Consider the following 19,727-nt stretch of genomic DNA (forward strand, 5'->3'; position numbering starts at 1 on the left):
TTTGAGACAGACTTTCACTCTTGTTGCCCAGGCTGGAGTGCAATGGAACGATCTCGGCTCACTGCAACCTCTGCCTCCCAGGTTCAAGCAATTCTCCTGCCTCAGCCTCCCTAGGAGCTGGGATTACAAGCGTGCACCACCACGCCCGGCTAATTTTTTTATTTTTAATAGACATGGGGTTTCACCATGTTGGCCAGGCTGGTTTCGAACTCCTGACAACAGGTGATCCACCCACCTCAGCCTCCCAAAGTGCTGGGATTACAGGCGTGAGCCACCGTGCCCCACTGAGAAACATTTTACAAACAGGTGCATTGTGGGAGTGGGTGTGGTTAGTGTCGCATCAGGGACGAGTCTGAACACAGACCTTGGCCGTGGCTGTGGGTCCTGCTCCTCATTTTTCTGCGAGGACATGATACAATCAGGGACTCTTGTGAAACTGCCTGGAAAGGAGCTTGGCTGGGTTGGTGTCATCCCGGGAACACCTGCCAGCCACCTTCCCGCTTTGGGTTCCCTGAGGCGCAACCACAGGCCTATGTGTGGGGCGTCGGGGGACTTGAGGCTTCCTTGTGATGGTCTCCTGAGGCTGCCACACCCTCTGTCTCTGTGTCACTGGGAGCCCCTGAGCTTTGGGTCTGTAGCTGGGTACTCGGGTGCCGGCACAGCTTGTTCGTTTAGGGAGAAGACAAGAGGGCAGGCCTTCTGGGTAGGAGGAGGGTTTTTGTTGTTTTGTCTTGTTTGTGCTGGTTATTATACAAAACTCAAACATGTAGAAGGTCATGTGCCCACTGCCCAGCTCCAACAGCCGCCAGTGTAGACAGGAGTCTTCGGGCGTGAGTGCTGGGGCCAGACATGTGCTTTAGGAAGCTGCCTGGTGGCGCCTGCAGCCCCCATGCCAGAAGCTGGGCTGGAGGCGAGGAGAGATGGTTGGGTCTGTAGGCTTGTTGAGGTGGGTGAGGGTGAGGACCCAGAACAAGGTAGGGGGAAGAGAACAGGGTGGAGAGTTGGGAGAGAGTCTGAAATAGAATCAGTAGGATTTGGTGGCCAGCTGAATGTGGGAGCCGGGGGAGGTGAAGGGGTTCGGTGATTCCACTGACCATGGGGGATTATAGGGGAAGGAAAGGGTTTAGGACAGGGCAGAAGTCCAACCACAGCCCTCAAAGCCCCGTGCGACCTTGTTTTGGGACCTTGCCCACCATGCTCCAGCCCCCTTGGCCATCTCCTGATGCCTTCACTGTACCCGGCGCTGTGCTGCAGGGACTCTGCACATGTGGTCCCTGCTGCCTGGACCGCCCCAGTCCTCACACCTCACTTCCGGAAGCCCCTGTCACCTTGGGTCTCAGCTCCAGCAGTACTTCCATCGGGAGAGCCACCGACTCTTGCTCTGACTCTTGTTTCCTTATTAACTAATCACAACATGCAATTGTTTTGCCTATTTGATTATTTTCATGTTTATTTTCAGTTTGCCTCAACAGAACGTAAGCCCAAGCAGGCCCGTACCGAGAACTCAATAGACACAAGCATGGGAGGAATGAGGGACTCCGGAGGCAAACGTTGGTGGAGGCGCTTGGACGAGGCACTGCAGCCAGCAGCGAGCCAGGGAAGGCTCCGAGCAGAAGAGGGGCCTGAGGGAAGGCACACAGGGGCGCTCAGAGGGAGCCCAGAGTCAGACACAGGAAAAAACCAGCTCAGCCCAGCCTTCTGTTATTCAACCCCTCCATGCTCTGTGGGAAGAGGGTACACAGAATCCCTGAATTCAGTCATTAATAGCAGATGCAGAGACCTTTCTAACTTGGAGGCTTAGATGTCAAATACATGGTTTTAACGAAAGTGAAGTCAATTAGTATGTTCTTGTGTCTTACTCAACTTGTGTGTGCGCAAGCTTGTGTTATTAACCTGTTGAGAAAGCCACAGGCGCTGAAGAACCAGAGAAGCGCCGGGGCTCCCAGGGGCTCTCTTTGGAGCCTTCAGTGCCCTGGACAGTGAAACAGCCTCCATCTCTTTCACAGTTGGTGCTGTACTAGGCGGTTCAATGGTGTGCACATCCATTGAAGGTCTCCTCCACGCCGGAAAATGATGCACATCTGTGTGCAGCAGTCACTTCAGAAATGCTTTCAGGAAGTCCTGCTTTGTGCAGAAACCTTCCCCAGCTCCCAAGCTGTTACAGCATCTGGTGGCAGCTCCCCTCCTTAACCTAGGAGGCCTGCCCCACCCACCTCCTCTGGCTCGTGCCCATTACGTGCTTGTGTCTCCGCCATACCCTTGCTGGTGGCCTAGAATGTCGTTCATCTCCAGCAACTTCTCCTTCGAAGCTGCCCTCCAGGCCTTGCATGTGCCCTGCCTGTTCCCCGGGCCTCCCTGCCTGCCCCAAAGGCCTCTGACTCCTCTGGACACCCAAGTTGCCTGGGTCCTTCATCATGTGAGTCTTGCCTTGGCTACCATTGTTTCTCTTGTATCTGTCTTGAGTTCCCAACATGAAGCTCTTTGAAAGAAGGTATCATTGTTTTCACCACATCTTCTGGGTTCTAGCTCAAGTGTAGACCTTCAAAAATGTATGTAGGTTGGCTGACTGACTGATAAGGTTAGCGGGGGATTGATAAAGTGCTATTCTATACCAGGCTTTAAAAAAATGCCAATCTAATTCCAGAGATGGCTAGAACCAAAAGGTGACTAGAAAGGCCTGGCGACCACAGCAGTAGGTGCAAATGTGCTGGGTTTTGGGCAACTGTGATGTGCTCTTGACCATCTCTTACTCTTTCTTTTCTCCCAGCCATGAAACTGAGGGGGCCCCCATGCTCTCTGCCCCTTAGAGGATATGGTGAGGGAAAATGAGGTGCTATAACCATGTATAGGTCTTGCTTGGAAGCTGTGATTCTTATCAGGCTTGTTAGCGTCTCAGAGGAGAGGCTTCCCAACCAGGCCTCCCATCCCCTTCGCACAGATACTGTCTGTGTGCATGCCTCTTGTGACGCCTGCGGGGACGCACACCCATGCCAGGCAGTCAGGGATCCTGCTCCTGTTTCCTCAGAGGGTGAGCAGTTCCATCCACCGCTTCTTGCTTTGTCAAATGGGTAATCCTGGCAGCTGCCAGGCTCATTGCTATTTGCAACTCTACCTGTTGGTTAGCTCCAGGTGGATTGCCCAGACCGGGCCACCCTGTTACTGCTGGCTTTGGGCCACTGGGATCTCTCAGCTACTGTCACTCCCCAGATGTTAATGTCTGCCTGAAATCCCAGGGCAGGAAGGGACCCAAAAGGTCATCTAGTTCTCCCTCCTGCCTTGAAGTGAGACCACACCTAAGCTGATCCAGACAGCCGAGGGTCAGGCCTGGTGGTAAAACCTGCAGAGAAGCCTCCCCCGGGTAACTTGTTCCAGGCCCCTCCATCGGGAGGCACTGACACTTTCTCACTTCAGATCTGGTTGCTGCTCATTCCCGAGGGGTTTTGGATGCCCCTCTTGAACATCTGCTGGTGTGTTGGGGGAAATAGGAGCCTGCCATCCTCGCTGCAAGGGTGGAGTGAGCCAAGAATGGAGAGTGTGAGTGTGTGTGTGGGGCTTTCGGGAGGTCTTGCTCCCTGTCTGCCAGGGGCCTGACACTCCAGGGGCAGCCCCGACTGGGAAGTGCCCCAGCCCTGCTGGTGGACAGTGAGTCCAGTCCAGAATCCTACTGAGCCCAGCCTCTTGTTCTGGAAGAAATGAAGTTTCAGTAGGAAAGAAATGAGGGCAGAGCAGGAGGAGTGAATCCGTCAGAACTTACATCTCTTCACTCATTCAGCAAATTCTTGCTGGCCCCCGCTACATGCTGCTTGGGGATAGGGGAGAAATGAGAACTGGAGGGTGTCCAGGTTGCTTTGGCTGTCGGAGAGAGGTCCCAGCCCAAGGTTGTAGGGCACCGGGAGAGCCTGCACAGTCTTGTGCTGTCGGCAGGGGTGTGGGGGGTTGAACATATTTGCAGAGCCCCACCTGCCTGCTCTGGCTCTCTGGAATGGCTCCGCTGTGTTGGGAACAGCTGGTCTTCGCTGCACTTTCCTATCCAGGCCATCCCACAGCCACCATGGCCTGCAGTGGAGCAGGCACCCAGTAAAGACAGGTGATGGTTCTTAGAACCTGCTGTACACCATCCCACCCCTGACCCAAGTGAGGCTGCCGGGGGCACATGCAGCTCCAGGCACTCAGCCTACATCATCTCCCCTGACCCTGCCGGCACCTCTGCTGTGAGCCATGTCCCCTCGAAACTCATATGTCCAAGCCTGAACTCCCAGCACTTCAGAAGGTGACTGTATTTGGAGATTTGGAGATAGGGCTTCTAAAGAGATAATCAAAGTAAAAAGAGGTCATATGGTTGGGCCCTAATCCAGTGTGACTGGTGTCCTTATAAGAAGAGGAGATTAAGACACAGACACACACAAAGGGAAGACCGTGTGAAGACACAGGGAGAGGACGGCCACCTGCAAGCCCAGGAGAGAGGCTGCAGGAGACATCAACCGTGCCGACACCTTGATCTTGGACTTCCAGCCTCCAGAACTGTGAGAAAATAAATCTTGTTGTTTGAGCCATCCCGTCTGTGCTACTTTGTAAGGGCAGCCCTAGCAAACTAACACAGCTTCCGCGGAGCGGGATGTCATCCCCATCTAACAGATGAGGTCTGTAGCGCTGCCAGATGCCACACAAGGAATGCCGGGCCAGTTCCTAAACCTCCCTGAGCCTCTGTTTCCTCATCTGCAAAGAGGGATTAATGATAATTTTGTGGTAAGGATTCAGTGAGATAGGACACAATGCATGTTTGTTCCCCACGCATGCCTCGGCCTGATTTGATTAAGAAGCCCATGGGCCTGGGGCAGAGGCTAGCTGTGAGTTCTGCATGTGGTTGACAGCTGGTGTTGATGAATGGTATGTTAAAAATAAAACCCAAACCAAAAAGCCTTTTGCACTCTATGGAGAACCTGAAATCGGAAGCGCTCAGTTTCATTAGTTGGCAGACGTCTCTGACTTGTGAACCTGACCGGGCACCCTGGGACTCCCTATGTCAAAGTCTTCCTACGGCAGCCTCCAGCGAGGTGGGGGAGGGTGAGAGGGCGCGTCTTCCAGGCACTGTCTGCCTGACTTGACCCTGGTAAAGTGTACACGGGAACAGAGCCCTAGGGACCAAGCCCTCAAGCCCAGGGGCAGAGCTAGCTGCCCGCCTGTAGGCACCATTGGTGCAGTGTCAACCCAGTGGATGTTCCCTGTTAAGCCTGTGCCCTGCTCAGCTCAGCTCGGCTGTGGGAGTCAGCTTCCGTCTGCCTGGAGACACCCGAGGGTGCAGAGCAGCACGTGCAGATATGTTCCTGGGGGCGGGTACCACTTTCTCTTTTATTTGGAAGTTGTCTTTCACAATGAAACAGCCTTTAAGCCACATAACCTTTTTCCATCCCTGAACCTGGAGGGGCCATCGAAATCCTCAATGTCACTCTGGGGGAAGCTGATTCTGGGAGGGACCCAAGGGGGAGGGCAGGCAGGGGCCCTTCTTTGGGTTGGTCCAGAGACCTACTCTGTACCACTCAATTATATTTTAAAATCTATCTGTACGCTTTCACACCACAAGTCCTAAAGCATCTTTAATTAGGTCCCACACACAGATACACACACCCAGCTCAACAATGATAGAAAACGCCAAATTCCAGTTGACAAGGAGCCAGAAGCCCAGCCTTTCCTCTGGCTAAACAGAGGGACCCATTATGCTGGAATATTATTTTCTCATGGTTTGGAACCATTACATCAGCCTTGATGTAATAACATTGTTTAACTTCAGAGGTGTATTTATTTTGGTTTGGAGTTCAGATAGTTTAGCCGTTAGCTGGGGATTGAGCAAAACCCAGACAAAGCCACTAAAGTTTGAAATGAACCATTCTGCCGTTCCCCTTCTCTGCTCCCCAGAATAAATATTCTTCAGATGTAGTTTCATCTCACAGCAAAGGTGGTGACCTGGCTGCTGATAAATTTTGGAGGCAATTTTTTTTCCCCTCTGGTGGTTGGCCAACATGATGATGACCAGCTGGGCACTGAGTGGGTAATCAAGCCCCAAACCCAGTAAGGACTTGGGAATTCCACCAGCAGCTTCTCTGAAGATAGCCTGTGATCTTTCCACGGTTCCTCCATAAGCCCAGCTCTTCTCCTTAAATAACTCGCTACAGGTGGCGCTTTGATCGGTCACCGTGGGGACACAGGGGATGGCTCTTGTTAGCGGCTGAGCCCAGAGGGCCAGGTCTCCAGACAGGAGCTCTTAAGAGCCCCAGAGAGTAACTGGAGGCTTCTAATTGTTTCCTCTGAGCCCAATCCTTGGAATGGGTGGAAAAAACTCTGGTATCTGGGCTGTGATATCCTCTGTGCTGGAGTGCAAGTGACAGGAACTGTGAAATGACCACTGAGGCCGGGTGGTGGAGGCGTGGGAGCCCCAGGGCTTGTTGGTTGGGGAGCCCTCCCAACTGCATGTTCCTTCTAGCTCCATGCATTTCTGTCCCACCCTCCACAGCAACACCACCATGGGGAAGAGTTTCCTGGCAGGTCCACTTGCTCATCAGCCATTCTTTCCGAGGCCTTCTTCCCCCACTCTACTGTGATAGCTCTTGGCTCTTATCAGGGTCCCTACCAATCTCCACGTGGCCACGTCCCGGGTGCATTCCTGTTCTCATGGTACTCCATGCTCGCAGCATTTGGCACTCGGCCCTCGTTCCCTCTCCACCATGCTGGCCCGTTTTCCTCCTCCTTTGCTGGCTCTCTGGCCTTCAAAGGCCAAAGTGCCCCAGGGTTCCTCCTTGGCCCTCTTCTCTTCATCAACACCCTCTCACTGAGCGAACTCATCTGGCCCCTGGGTTTCAATACCAGACAGTTACTGGTGGCTCCCCAAACGGTATGACCTCTGCCCTGAATCCCAAACTTCCCCATCCAACTACCTCTTCAGCAGTTGCCCTTGGCACCTAACAGGCCTCTCGAAAGCAATATACCCAAGCAGAACTTTCACTGTCCTAGGTCTCTCCCCATCCCTTCCTGCCCCGTGAATGGCATCCTCCTCCTGGCTCAGCCCCATAACCTGGGATCCATCTTCTTGTGTCTTTCCTTCATATCCACACCCAATCTTTCAGCCAGGTCTGTCAGCTGAGGCAAATCCAGCCACTTCTCACCACCTCCACGCTGAAGCGCTAGCCCAGCCACCCTCATCTCTCACTTGGATTATTGCAACAGCACCTAACTCATCTCCCTGCTTCCACTCCTCCCGGCTCTAGTTCCCCCTCCATCTGTAGCCATAGCGGTCTTCTCACCTGGTAAATCAAATCATAGCAGCACTTTTTAAATCCTTCTCATTGTAGTTAGAATGCAGCTCAGGCTCCTTTCCACACCCTTGGGCACACCCAGTATTTATTCTTATTTATTTATATTTATTTATTTGAGACGGAGTCTCGCTCTGTCACCCAGGCTGAAGTGCAATGGCGCCACCTCAGCTCACTGCAACCTCCACCTCCCGGGTTCAAGCGATTCTCCTGCCTCAGCCTCCTGAGTAGCTGGGACTACAGGTGCATGTCACCACGCCTGGCTAATTTTTGTATTTTTAGTAGAGACGGGGTTTACATCCAGTATTTATTCTGTGTGTCTTACTTTCTGATTGAGCCCTACTTTTATTTGGAGCAGCACAGTACCCAGTTAAATGCCTGTATTTCCCAGCCTCCTTTATAACCTAGGGGTGGCCAATGAGATGAAAGCAGAGCTGTTGAGTGAGACTTCTGGTATTGTCCTTTCAAGGGAGCTGGCTCAGCTGGGAGAATGCAAAATTTTTCCTGTTCCATGCTTTCCTCTTTTCTACTGCTTAGAATACAGATGTGATGGATGGTGCTCCAGCAGCCATCTTGTGATATAAAGCAACCTTGACGATGAAAACTTCATAAGAGAGATAGATGAAGCAGAGCTGCCAGATGACCACAGAGTCATCATACCAGGCTTGGAATTCCTAATTCTGAACTTCTCTGATGTAAGAAATATCTTGTGTTAGCCACTGATTGAGGCTGATTGAATCTAATCCTAAGAAGTAAAACCTGCAAAGCTTGAAGTAATCTGGCCTCGACCTCTCTAATTTCCTTCAACCACTCTATTCTAGCTTTGCCATGTATCATGCATGCTGGTTTTCTCTCAATGCTCCTTGAACATTCTAAGCTTAGTCCCATCTTGAAGCTCTTCCCCCAGATCTCTGTGACTTCTTCTTTTGTATCTTTTGACCTTTTCAGAGAAGCCTTTCCTGACTTATGTAGCCCCTAACCAGTCTGCTTCTCCTTAAGCTCCTTTAACAAATTTCATAGCACTGGCCTGGTGTGGTGGCTCACACCTGTAATCCCAGCACTTTGGGAGGCCAAGGTGGGCAGATCACGAGGTCAGGAGATGGAGACCATCCTGGCTAACACAGTGAAACCCCGTCTCTACAAAAAATACAAAAAATTAGCTGGGTGTGGTGCAGGCGCCTGTAGTCCCAGCTACTCGGGAGGCTGAGATAGGAGAATGGCATGGACCCGGGAGGTGGAGCTTGCAGTTAGCCAAGATCGTGCCACTGCACTCCAGCCTGGGCGACAGAGCGAGACTCCGTCTCAAAAAAAAAAAAATTTCATAGCAGTTTCACTCTTTGAGATTACTTTGTAAAACATGCTTATTGTCTGTTTCCCCCCTTAGATTGTAAGTTTCATGAGGACAGAGGTTTTGACTGTCTTGTTCACTGCTTTATCTCCTAGGCTTTGCATATGATACGTGTTTAGTAAGTTATTTGTTAAATGAATGTGTGGAATGAGATGACTTTTCAGAAGTTTCTGAAAAAAACTGGTCTTGGGTGTGGCCACACATCACAGAATCCCTTCTGCTGTATTTGAAAATAGCCCAGCAAACACTTGTGGCTCACCCATGACTTGCTGGGCCTGCTGCAGCACTGGGATGTAAAGATAGAGTAGCTCCTTGTCTGAGCTCTGGAAGCTCAGAGTGGACAAGAGCGTGTGTAGATAGAAGACTGAGGTACCAAAATACAGGAACACTGCGGCCAGCCTCAGGAGGCTTCAGTAGAGACTTAGAAGGCAGAATCCTAGGGGCTTGTCATTGTCTGGATGAGGAAGAAAGGGAGAAGGGAGAATGGAGAGTGGCAAGTGTCTGGCATCAGGGCCACATTTCAACAGGCATGTGTGACATTAGAGGGCATGACAGAGAATGCAGCACATCTGGACAGTAAAGTATTTTTTTTTTTTTGAGACAGAGTCTTGCTCTGTCCCCCAGGCTGGGGTGCAGTGGCACAATTTTGGCTCACTGCAACCTCCGCCTCCCGGGTTCAAGCTATTCTCCTGCCTCAGCCTCCTGAGTAGCTGGGATTACAGGCGCGTGCCACCACGCCTGGCTGATTTTTGTATTTTTTGTAGAGGCAGTGTTTCCCCATGTTGGCCAGGCTGGTCTCGAACTCCTGACCTCAAGTGATTCGCCCGCTTCAGCCTCCCAAAGTGTTGGGATTACAGGGGTGAGCCACCGCGCCTGGCCTAGACAGTAAAGTATTGAAGTGCTGTGCTGGAGCTCTATGCAGGCTACCAAAAAGGCACAGAGGACCACCTGGCAGGTTCTGTGGTTTTAATAGAGTCAGGGGCTGATTAGGAGAAGCTCTGGGGAGGCAGTGATGCTGGAGGCAAGCTGTCAAGTGTCTTCCTCACAGACAAGGCTCAGGGGAAGGAGCTGCAGACTGAGCAAATAGTAGAAGTAAAGATATGAATGGGCGAGGTATGTAGCATGACCTGGTTTGTCTGGGACTGTCCTGATTTCACCACAGAAAGTCCTATGGCCCAGGAAAACCCTTCATCCCAGGCAAGCTGGGAAGATTGGTCATTTTAGAGACCCGGGGTCTGTTAGGTCCATTGGAGTAGCTTTCAGTGGCTGGAGAAGAGAGAGTCAGTGCGTGAGTTGCGGGGGAGGAGGAAGGGGCTACTTCCTGGGAAGCTGGAGGCAGTAGGGGCTGGATAAAAAGCCTCCTAGGCAGCAGAAGGAATTAGATCTTTTTCCTGAATAGGGGAGAATCACTGAAAAATATTGCAAGATAGGAGTGAGGCAGTAAAGAAATGAATGACATCTCCATTGGAGAATGGTTCTTCCTACTGTAACATAACATAGAGCTGCAGCTCATCAGTCTGTGTGTTTTATGGGCCAGGCTCGGCTGCCACCACTTTTCTCCCAAAGCAGCACACCCCATACCCAGGGCAGACCGGGCATAGGCACCTGCTTGAGGAAATGGCTCCAGTGTTTGCCCGGCTCTGGCATCATCGGTCAGAAGCCAGTTACATCAACCATCCCTTAGCTCCCACTTTTGGGGGCTTCCCAGCTGAAGAGTCTCGCAGCTCTGGGCTCCCTGTGGACCTGAATCAGGAGGGCAGACCACGCCCTTATGCATCCCCAGCGTCTTCCCTGTTCTGGTCACTTTTTACACTCAGAGACCACCCACCTCCTGCCCTCTCTTGCATACTGTCACCTGCAGTGCCCTCTCCTGCCTCCTTCAGAGCCCACGCTGCTGTGCCTGGACTCCCTGCCACCCCCTGGCTGCAGGACACCACCTGTCCTCGTTTCCTTCCACCTCCCTGACTGCCCCTTTCTGTTTCTCATCTTCGTTTTCTCCTGCTTCCCAGCTCCCATCTCAACCCTATGCCTCTTGACTCAGTTACCATTAGGTCTGGCTGCACATAGTGGAAAATCCCAAATAGCGGCGGCTTAAGTGCCCAAGGTTCTCTTCTGTCCCACAAACGCAGAGCAGAGGAAGCAGCTCAGGGCTGGTGTGGCGGCACTGCGAAGTCACCACGACCCCGCGAACTCACCACGACCCCAGTCTGGCCTTTAGGAATCTGCTGTCTGGAAGGCCCTGGCCAGACCCTGTTCCCCGACCCTGACTGGCTGGGCCCTACTTCCTCCAGGGTGGCTCCAGCCCCCAGCGCAGGCCCAGGCAGCTCTCCCACAAGCTCCCGTTGGCCCTCCATCTCCTGCAAGCTCCACTGTGCCAGGGCCTGTCCTGCTCATTTGCTCCCTCCGTACTGCCTTCTGCGGGGCCTAGTGCTTGCTGCCAAGGTGTCTGCCCTCCCTGCTAATTGATCTGAAGTCAGGACAGTGCCGTAGCCCAGTCATTGCCTGGTACAGTGTTCTGTTCCTACTAGGTCCTCTGCGTACATGTGGAATGAATACAAGAACCTTTTTGAACAATAGTTGGAGGCATCAGGAAGGGCTAAAGACCATCCTGAGGGGCCCCGAACCCAGAATATGTTCTGTGGTTGGAGGCCGGGAGTGGTGGCTCATGCCTGTAATCCCAGCACTTTGGGAGGCCAAGGCAGGTGGATCACCTAGGTCAGGAGTTTGAGACCAGCCTGACCAATATGGCAAAACCCCATCTCTACTAAAAATACAATAATCAACCGGGCGTGGTGGCTGGTGCCTGTAGTCCCAGCTATTTGGAAGGCTGAGGCACGAGAGTTGCTTGAACCCGGGAGGTGGAGGTGGCAGTGAGCCGAGATCGTGCCACTGCAGTCCAGCCTGGGTGACAGACAAGACTCTGTCTCAAAAAAAAAAAAGAAAAAAGAAAAAAAAAGAATATATTCTGTGGCTGGAGAGGAGGGCTAGTTATCACCAATGTGTGCAAGATTGGTGAGTGTGTCTGACAGTGTTCATAGATTTAATTACAAAAAGATTCATGGTTAGCTGAGCTCAGGTAAATAACAGTTTGACTACATTATGTACAGATACAAATGATGTCCTAAAGAGGTTGTGTAATAATGCACGTGACACCTCTTTTGACCAGTGTTACTTAATGTCAGTTGATGAGTGTTTCAGTATTTCTATGCCTGGCAGGTTCTTCTTTTTATTTCTAACTAAGTGTCTTGCTCTGTGCTGTTATTTCTGAATCAGTAGGAAGTTGTAGGGGTATGAGAAACATTAGACACCCTAAGGGAGATGAAGGTCAAATGAAATTTTAATGTTTTGTATTTCTTCATCCTAAAGATGCTATCTATTTATCTGGTCTATCTTTACATCTTTCTTTTTTCTTCTTGTTTGGAAAGGTGTCAAAGGGCACATCCTCCAATCCCTGGCTTGAGACCAGTTTGCGTGACAGGCCCTGCTGACAGGTGGAGGGTTGAGGACAGTGCCTGGTGGCTTGGGCTCTGCTCACTGTTCTACTGGCATCACGAATGCATGTGGCTCGACTCTGGGAATCTTGGAGCAACGCAGACGGCAAGTTCACAATAGGTGTTTGCCCTTCAATAGGCCAGAACTAAAACTTTATCCCCTTCACAGTGGGGCCTCCTAATTAGATATAAATAAATCCATCAAGCAAAAATCAAATCCTTCCCTTTCCATTCATTTTTTTTTCCTTTGGCATTTCAACCCATAATCTAATATATGGGGAAGAGAAGGCACTGTAGAGGTTGAATGACCTGGGCTAGGGAGGTAGGTGAGAAATGCCTCCTTTCTCAGACCAGCACCTGACTCGCAGTTTGGGGGCCTGGGTGGGGAAGGAGGAGGAAAGACAGGGAGCATGGTGTGAACCAGGAGCCTGCCCAGTGCCCAGACCAAAAGGGAAGGGGCTGAACATTGAGAGGACTTGAAATTAACAGAGCTTTACCAGCCAGTCAATAGGTCCTGGCTGCAGGAAGCTGAAGCTGCTAATGGCTCTGTTTTTTTCTCCTTCTACAGCCACGGTGGTTCCCCCTGTGGAGTTCCCTTCAATGCGAGACAGAGACCATTTTACTGACTGCGAAAATTCAATTAGAGTCTTATGTCAGGGTGGGGAGAACTTATGCGAAGCCCAACATTCTGGTGGCTCTCTTTTTGATCTGCTTTACCGTGGTACCTTCACAGGAAGTGAGTTCCATGAATACGGAACATATGGGTGCAGCTGGAGGGGGTGTGGGCTGTTGGAGACAGAGGTTCCTCAGTTTTCATATACATGAAATGATTGATGAGTTTCTTGCTTCTGTTTAGAAAGCAAAAAAGGGGAGGCTGAGGTGGGCGGATCACAAGGTCGGATCAAAACCATCCTGGCCAACATGGTGAAACCCTGTCACTACTAAAAATACAAAAATTAGCCGGGCGTGGTGGCGCGCGCCTGTAGTCCCAGCTACTCGGGAGGTTGAGGCAGAATCGCTTGAACCCGGGAGGCAGAGGTTGCAGTGAGTTGAGATCATGCCACTGCACTCCAGCCTGGTGACACAGCGAGACTCCGTCTTAACAACAACAACAACAACAAAAAAGCAAAAAAGATGTCTTGTCTGTAGACAAGCATAATTTCTTTGGTTTCTGTGTTGTCCCTGTCACCCATCAGAACCTCAGAAATGCTATCTGGGGTCAGCTGTGCATTTTTCTTTGTTGGTGGCCCATTGGACAGGCAGGTCACTTCTCGTCCTCCGAGGAGTAGATGGAAAAAAGGTCAGTTTGAAGCTCAAGGACAGCTGAGGACCGAGGCATGCCATTTAAGGGGAGTTTGGTACTTGGACCCAAGTATTCCCAGAGTGGACGCACTTGGGCTTGGAGACCCTAAACAAAGAAACCTTAGAAATGCTCTACTTTTCCTTTGTTAGTAGCAAAATAGCCAGCTCGCTGGGTTCTCGGCCACACATGGGCACCCGGAAGCCATCTACAGGCGCTCCCACGGCAGGAATGGGAGGAGGGGGCTCCTCAGCTTTTCTTGCTCAGCCCCTCCTCCCATGAGCTGCCCAGGCCTGTGTCCTGATGGAAGGACTCCAATCCCTCTCCTTCCTCCCTTTTGGTTCTCATGCTAGCCCTCAGTGCCTCCCCGATAGGCTGGGTCTCTGAGGCACTAGAGTGCTGCCACTGTCCTAAAACACCCCTGCAAGGGGTCACATGTCCTCCTGGCCTTACCACCTCTTTCTGGGCTGACAAACCCAGGCCTAGCTACACTGGACTTGACCTGGTTCCTCCCCTAGACCTACTCTCACGCAGTTCATCCCAGGGACCTCAGTTCCTGTCCACCTTGTCTCTCTCATGTCCACCTGGGGGCCACCTGGAAAATGCCTCCTTGTGCTTCATGGCTCAGTTCAAATCCTGCCTCCCCTGAGACACCTCTGGTAGACTTAGGTGTCTTTCCCCCTCAGCTTTATCCCTGTGGTCTCTCTGGGAGAGGGAGGATCTCCCTGCTCATGCACTGGTCTTCCCAGTAGACTTGGGGGTGGGGGTGTCAGGGCCTGACTTATGCCTTGCTGGATCTCCAGCAGCTATTTCAGTGTGTTTACTGAATGAAAGGGAAGGAATTCTGTGCTAGGAATAGTTTGTGATTAGCAATTTGAAGTGGGTCACTAACCAACTGCTGTATTTAGCACCTCTCTTTTTTTTTCTAGAAAATATACCAACTTGGACAGCCATCCTCAGGGGCCTGCTGTTGAAATATTTCCTGAATGTTCACAAATTTCCTGGATGTTCAAAACATGTTGAATTCTACTCTCACAGAACCTCCAGTAGCCCACGAATTGGTCTGAAGGCCCTTGCTGGATGAACCAGAAGTGGGTCCTCTCTACCTAGCTACATCGAGGCTCCCCAGTCTTACTGAGAATGAGGCCCAGAACACAAGAGTTTGTATGGTTCTTGCTGACGTACAATAGATTTCAGGGGTTGGGGAACTGAGGACATCATCTCAAAAGTACCACAATTGATGAGTAGCCCTATGAAATGCTTTTGTGTTAAAGCCTGTTTAGGAAATAGAATGGGGACATGAGCAGGTATGATATACCTGTGTCCACCTGCTTACACCTGCTGGGAGGGGACAGCAGCACACACCTGGAAGCATGGAGTGGCTTGCCGTCCAAGCTGACCAGAACGCAGGGCCTGTGCTGGAGTCCTGGGCCTGCTGCTGACCTACAGGGTCTTGGCCCAGCCACACTGGGCACCTCAGCTCCTCTGTCTGCCCCATGTGATGCCCCTACTTCATTCAGTCCATAAGCACTCACCAAGGCAGGTGCGGTGCGGGACACTGGACAGTGACAGATGAATAACATAGGTCTTGGCCCCCCGAGCCCATGAGCTACCAGAGATAATAAGCATCCTCACTGAGGCCACTGCTGGGTTTATGGATGCAGATGGCTGCCAGGGCCCTCCTGAGGTAGGAGGCACCCAGCTGCCCTGGTAAGAAATACAGGACTGTCTTATCAAAATAACCCTCCTGTGTTCACTCTTTCATCAAGGACTTGAGTCTGTGACCTCAAAGGCATGAGGTGGCCTTGGGGCATTCTGTGGGGCTCCATGTTGGTCTCTGAGCTCTTACAAAGGCCAGCTTGACCCCCAACCCTAGGAGGCACTCTTGGCTGGGTTCTCCTTCCCACCTGGCTCCAGGCTGAGGCCGTCCATTGCCAGTGTCCAGGGCTGCTGGCTGAGCAGGACACTGCTGCACTGGGCCTGGCACGCACCTCCTCTGTGCAGAGATCGAGTTGCTCTGGAGAGGTGTGACATATGATGGTGAAACTTGGCAAGAGTGGCTTCAGTGACAGAAAAATACATGCCAGGTCCCTAAGCCCAACTCTGCCGAAGGCCTTCTTCCAGCCAGAACCCTAGTGCCTAGTGGTGCAAAGACCTTCTCTCCACTCCACACCTTGCAGGAGCTGCAGGGCCAAGAACTGCACCTGGGTTCTCAATTTGTTTTGCAAATGAGCCCTAAGGCTCACGTATATGGTTTGCCTTGTCACTTTTGGACGTTTCCATCATCCTCAACAGATAGTGATGGGTTATGCAAAAAAAAAAAAAAAAAAAAAAAAAAAAAAAAGGCGTGCGTGAGAGGAAGTGCTCTGTACTCTTCCAACTTCTGCAAGCCCGAATCTACAGTGTCGCCATGTTTCCTTCCTGCCTTCTCCAAGGAGTTCCTTGATGGCAGCAGGGAGCCAGCATCCTGCATTAGGGTGGCCTGGTCTTGCAGCTGCTTGGAGGGTGTTGGCTACGGCACTGATGTGCATTATTGTATTCAAAACTGACAGACGCAGTCACATCCTTAGCCGAGATGGAAGGCTGAGTTTACCAGTACAAGGAGAACCAAGCTCGATGCTAAATGAGGCTTTGAAGCAACAGGAACAGGTCCTTGCCCCTCAGGAGGGGAAGGGGAGCCCCCCCCAGAAACACAAGGTGATTTGGAAGAACTCAATTTACACCCTTGGCTCCCGTGGGCTGGGGGATCAGCAGAGGGCAGGATAATCCCAGCTTCTCGAGCAGATGGTTTCTGACTACCGCTTGACCCAGTTCCCTCCCAGCAGATGACTGGCAGCGGGGCTGACAGCTCCTCCACTAGGGGAGCAAAGTGTGGACCCTCCTCCCAACCTCCTCTTCCCTCCTCCCACCAGCAAGGACACGGCGGCTTTTGCCCCTCCCTGGTGCCAGGTCAATGGGCAGGATGCTGCATCTTCTTGAAGGCTTGAAGGCAGGGAAACCTCACCCATATTCTCTCCCTTTCCACAGCCCTGTCCAGCCCAGGTGGGGCTGACAATGAGAAGGGCTGGCCAGGAACACTCCTGTGAGGGCTTGTGTTGGGGAGTGGGGGTTGTGAACTCCTTCATTGGCTTTATGGCTTCTCTCATTTCTTCATTCAATCATTACTTCAATAAGTTCTCCCTGATCATCTGCCAGGTCTGGCACCAGATAGGGCCCAGGAAGTCTGCTTCCCATGCAGGAGACAGACAAGGGAGGAGATAACAGCCAGGCACTGGGCTGAGAGCCTCACTCAGGTAAAAAACTATACAGGGCACAACCGGGTCAGGGAAGGCTTCGCCAAGGAGGAGAGACTGGGCTGACTCTGAGAGCCTGAGAATGAGTTTGTCAAGTAGCTGGTGGCTGTGGTGACGGAGACAGCCGGGTGGGCAGATGCAAGCAAAACCAGGAGGTGGCCAGCCTGGCTCAAGGCCACCATGCAGGAGGTGCTTCCCAGGAGGCAGAAGCTCCCGGGCCACAGGCTCCCAGGCAGGGCAAGGGCAACCTGATGGGAGAGCAGAGACTCTGGCCCTGGTGGAGATTCTAAGGAGGCAGAAGGGCTGCCATCTCGGGGATCCTCCTGGATCCCTGCTTCTGACTTCGGTCGGCAAACTCACACCCGCCCTAGTTTTGCCCGCCAGCTTCGGGTCGGTTCCTCCGATTGGGAGGGAGGGGGCGCTCGGCTTCCAGACTTGCAGGCCGCCGCGGGCCTGCGGTCCCGGCCGAGCTCCACGGTGGCAGGGCTGGCCCGAGAGACTGGCGGTGGGAGGCGGGGGCAGGAGGCCACGCTCCGCCTCCGACGTCCCCGATTCCCCAATATCCTGGGAAAGCCAGGATGAACTCCCATCGTGCTTCTGCCTTGAGTCTAGCCCGTTGCGAGGGAACGGGGTACGGCTCCGTGTCCTGTGGGCATTGTCATGCGGCCCCAGACCCGGGTGGGGGCGTGAAGAAGGACAGAGGAGCGCATTGCACTTGGGGCCCCGGACGGGTCTGAAAGTCAAGTTTCCACTGACAGTGTTCCTTGTCCGGTGGCCTGAGAACGGTGACCCTAGAACCATCCTTTATCGGGTTGTGTGAAGAGCCTGGCCCAGTTGCCTCGCTGGGCCTCCCACCCAGCCCCTGTGATACAGGTGTTACTGTCCCTTCACAGAAGAAGAGGTAGGCGATAGGAAAGGTGAGGACTCTATCCAAGGTCACTCCTGCAAAGCTGGCAGTGGCTGAGCCCGAGTGGAACCCGGGTCTGAGTGAAGCCAAAGTTTGTCTGCTGGCGAAAGTGGGAATTCCCTGGGGGTGGGGGTGGGGGTGGGGTACTGTAGACCCTGCCAGCCCCTCAAGCCCTGAGGCTCAGTGGCCTCCGGGCCGCGCGCCTGGGATCCCGCACAATCGGGGCGTTCCTCCTGGCCCAGCAGACGCAGCCGCTGGCCAGGCCTCCAGTGGCTACTGCCTTCCCGCCCTCCAGCTCGCAGGGTCCACGCCTCGGCCAGTGCGACGGCGGCCCGGGGAGCTGGGTGAGGGCACTGCAGCCCCAGAGCGGCAGCCGCCGGCGGAGCCTGCCTCTGGCATCCCAGGCCGCGCCGCACCCCGCTCGCCTCGCCAGGCTCGGCCGCGAGGGAGCGCCCCGGGAGGGCCGGGGGCGGCCACGGCGGCGGGAGTCGCCTCTGCTGGTTGGGGAGGGCGGCAGCTGGGACAGAGGCAGGGCCTGCGCGGCGGCGGGGAGGCGGGAGTGGGCCGGGAGGAGCGCCTGGGTCCAGCGCCTGGAACCCGTCGGTGCCGCCGGCCGCCCAGCTGGGCAAGGGTCCGGGGCGCCCACGTGGTGGGAAAGTTTCGAGGTAGCAAAAGTAGCCCGGCATTGCGGGGGGTGGGAGGGGAGAGGAGGGGAGGGGAGAGGGCCGGCTCGCCCCTCCTTCTCGGGAAGGCAGAAAGGAAAAAAGCGGTGGGAAGCAGGGGTGAGCGCGGGGAGCGGGCAGCCCCAACCTGAACAGATTCCGCTTTCTCCTCCTCCCCCCACCCCGGGAAGCTCGAGCGGGGAGGTACGGACCGTCTCCTCTCGCACGGGCAGGACGACACCCTCCCTCCCCCCCTTTTTTCTGCCAACGTCTATCTCAACGCGCGCGCACATACGGAGATTGTGCGGCTTTTTTCCCCCTTGGGAGAAAAAACGGGGAGAGTAAAAGAAGAGAGACCAAAGAGAAGAACTCCTCCTCGGCGAGCTCCGCACTCCGTGCCGCGGCCCGGCGCGGGGACGCCGCCGCCGCCCGCCCGCTCTCTCCCGGCCCTGCGGCGGGTGCCAGTACGAGCGCGAGCGAGGGCACTGCACCCGGGGACGCTGCGAGACTTTTCGGCGCTCGAGCCGACCTCGCCGCCGCCGCGGCAGGCAGAAGAGACAGGAGCGAGAAGGGCCCTGCCTCCCCCTCGCCTTCCTCGCCCGGCGCCCCGCGCCCGGCCGGGCCGCGCAGGCAGGCGGAGGGAAGGAGGGAGGCTGCGAGGAGGCGGGCGGAGCAGAGGCCCCGGCGAAGCGCGCTGCGGCCGCCCGCCCGTGGATGCGGCGCCCAGGGATCCTGGAGACAACTTTGCCGTGTGACGCGCCGGGAGGACTGCAGGGCCCGCGGCCGAGGGCTCGGCGCCGCCTGTGAGCGGGCCCGCGCGGCCGGCTCTCCCGGGCACCAAGCTTGCTCCGCGCCACTGCCCGCCGGCCCGCGGCGAGGACGACCTGCCCGTCTCCGCCGCCGGCGGCCCTTCCTGGCGCGAGGCAGTGAGGGCGAGGCGCTCAGGTGCGAGCGCGGGGCCCCGCCGCAGCGCCCGCCGCAGCGCCGCGCCAAGCCGCGCCCGGCTCCGCTCCGGGGGGCTCCAGCGCCTTCGCTTCCGTCTCAGCCAAGTTGCGTGGACCCGCTCTTTCGCCACCTTCCCCAGCCGCCGGCCGAACCGCCGCTCCCACTGACGCTGCTTTCGCTTCACCCGAACCGGGGCTGCGGGGCCCCCGACGCGGAAAGGATGGGGAGAAGGCTGCAGATGCCGAGGCGCCCCGAGACGCCCGTGCGGCAGTGACCCGCGACCTCCGCCCCGCCCGGCGCGCCCCTCGGGCCCCCGGGGCCCTCGGCGCCCCTTCCCTGCCGCGCGGGAACCCCCGAGGCCCGGCCGGCCCCCTCCCCCTGCGAGCCGGCGGCAGCCCTCCCGGCGGGCGGGCGGGCGGAGGCCCGGGCGGGCGCGGGCGCGGGCGGGGGCGGGGCGGGGCGGCGCGCCCGGAGCCC

At 54.7% G+C, this 19,727-nt stretch overlaps 1 protein-coding gene across 1 annotated transcript, besides 1 other annotated feature; it reads left to right on the top strand.

Annotated features, from left to right (window-relative positions):
• Positions 1 to 2,275: 2,275 nt before the first annotated feature.
• On the top strand, positions 2,276 to 19,603 carry LOC105373989 (putative cuticle collagen 91). Its single transcript, XM_047446882.1, has 3 exons — positions 2,276 to 2,416; positions 17,532 to 17,637; positions 18,497 to 19,603. Exons 1-3 carry the CDS (start codon positions 2,276 to 2,278, stop codon positions 19,522 to 19,524), a joined length of 1,275 nt encoding a protein of 424 aa, XP_047302838.1. The 3' UTR covers positions 19,525 to 19,603.
• Positions 16,898 to 17,388: a transcriptional cis regulatory region, noted in NCBI's record as "candidate enhancer chr2.4367 targeted for multiplex CRISPR interference". NCBI's record gives its function as "positively regulates RALB gene expression with high confidence in K562 cells {active_cell/tissue: K562}" and the evidence as "EXISTENCE:mutant phenotype evidence [ECO:0000015][PMID:30612741]".
• Positions 19,604 to 19,727: the final 124 nt, after the last annotated feature.

This window comes from Homo sapiens, chromosome 2, assembly GCF_000001405.40.
Source record: "Homo sapiens chromosome 2, GRCh38.p14 Primary Assembly".
NCBI classification, from domain to species: domain Eukaryota; kingdom Metazoa; phylum Chordata; class Mammalia; order Primates; family Hominidae; genus Homo; species Homo sapiens.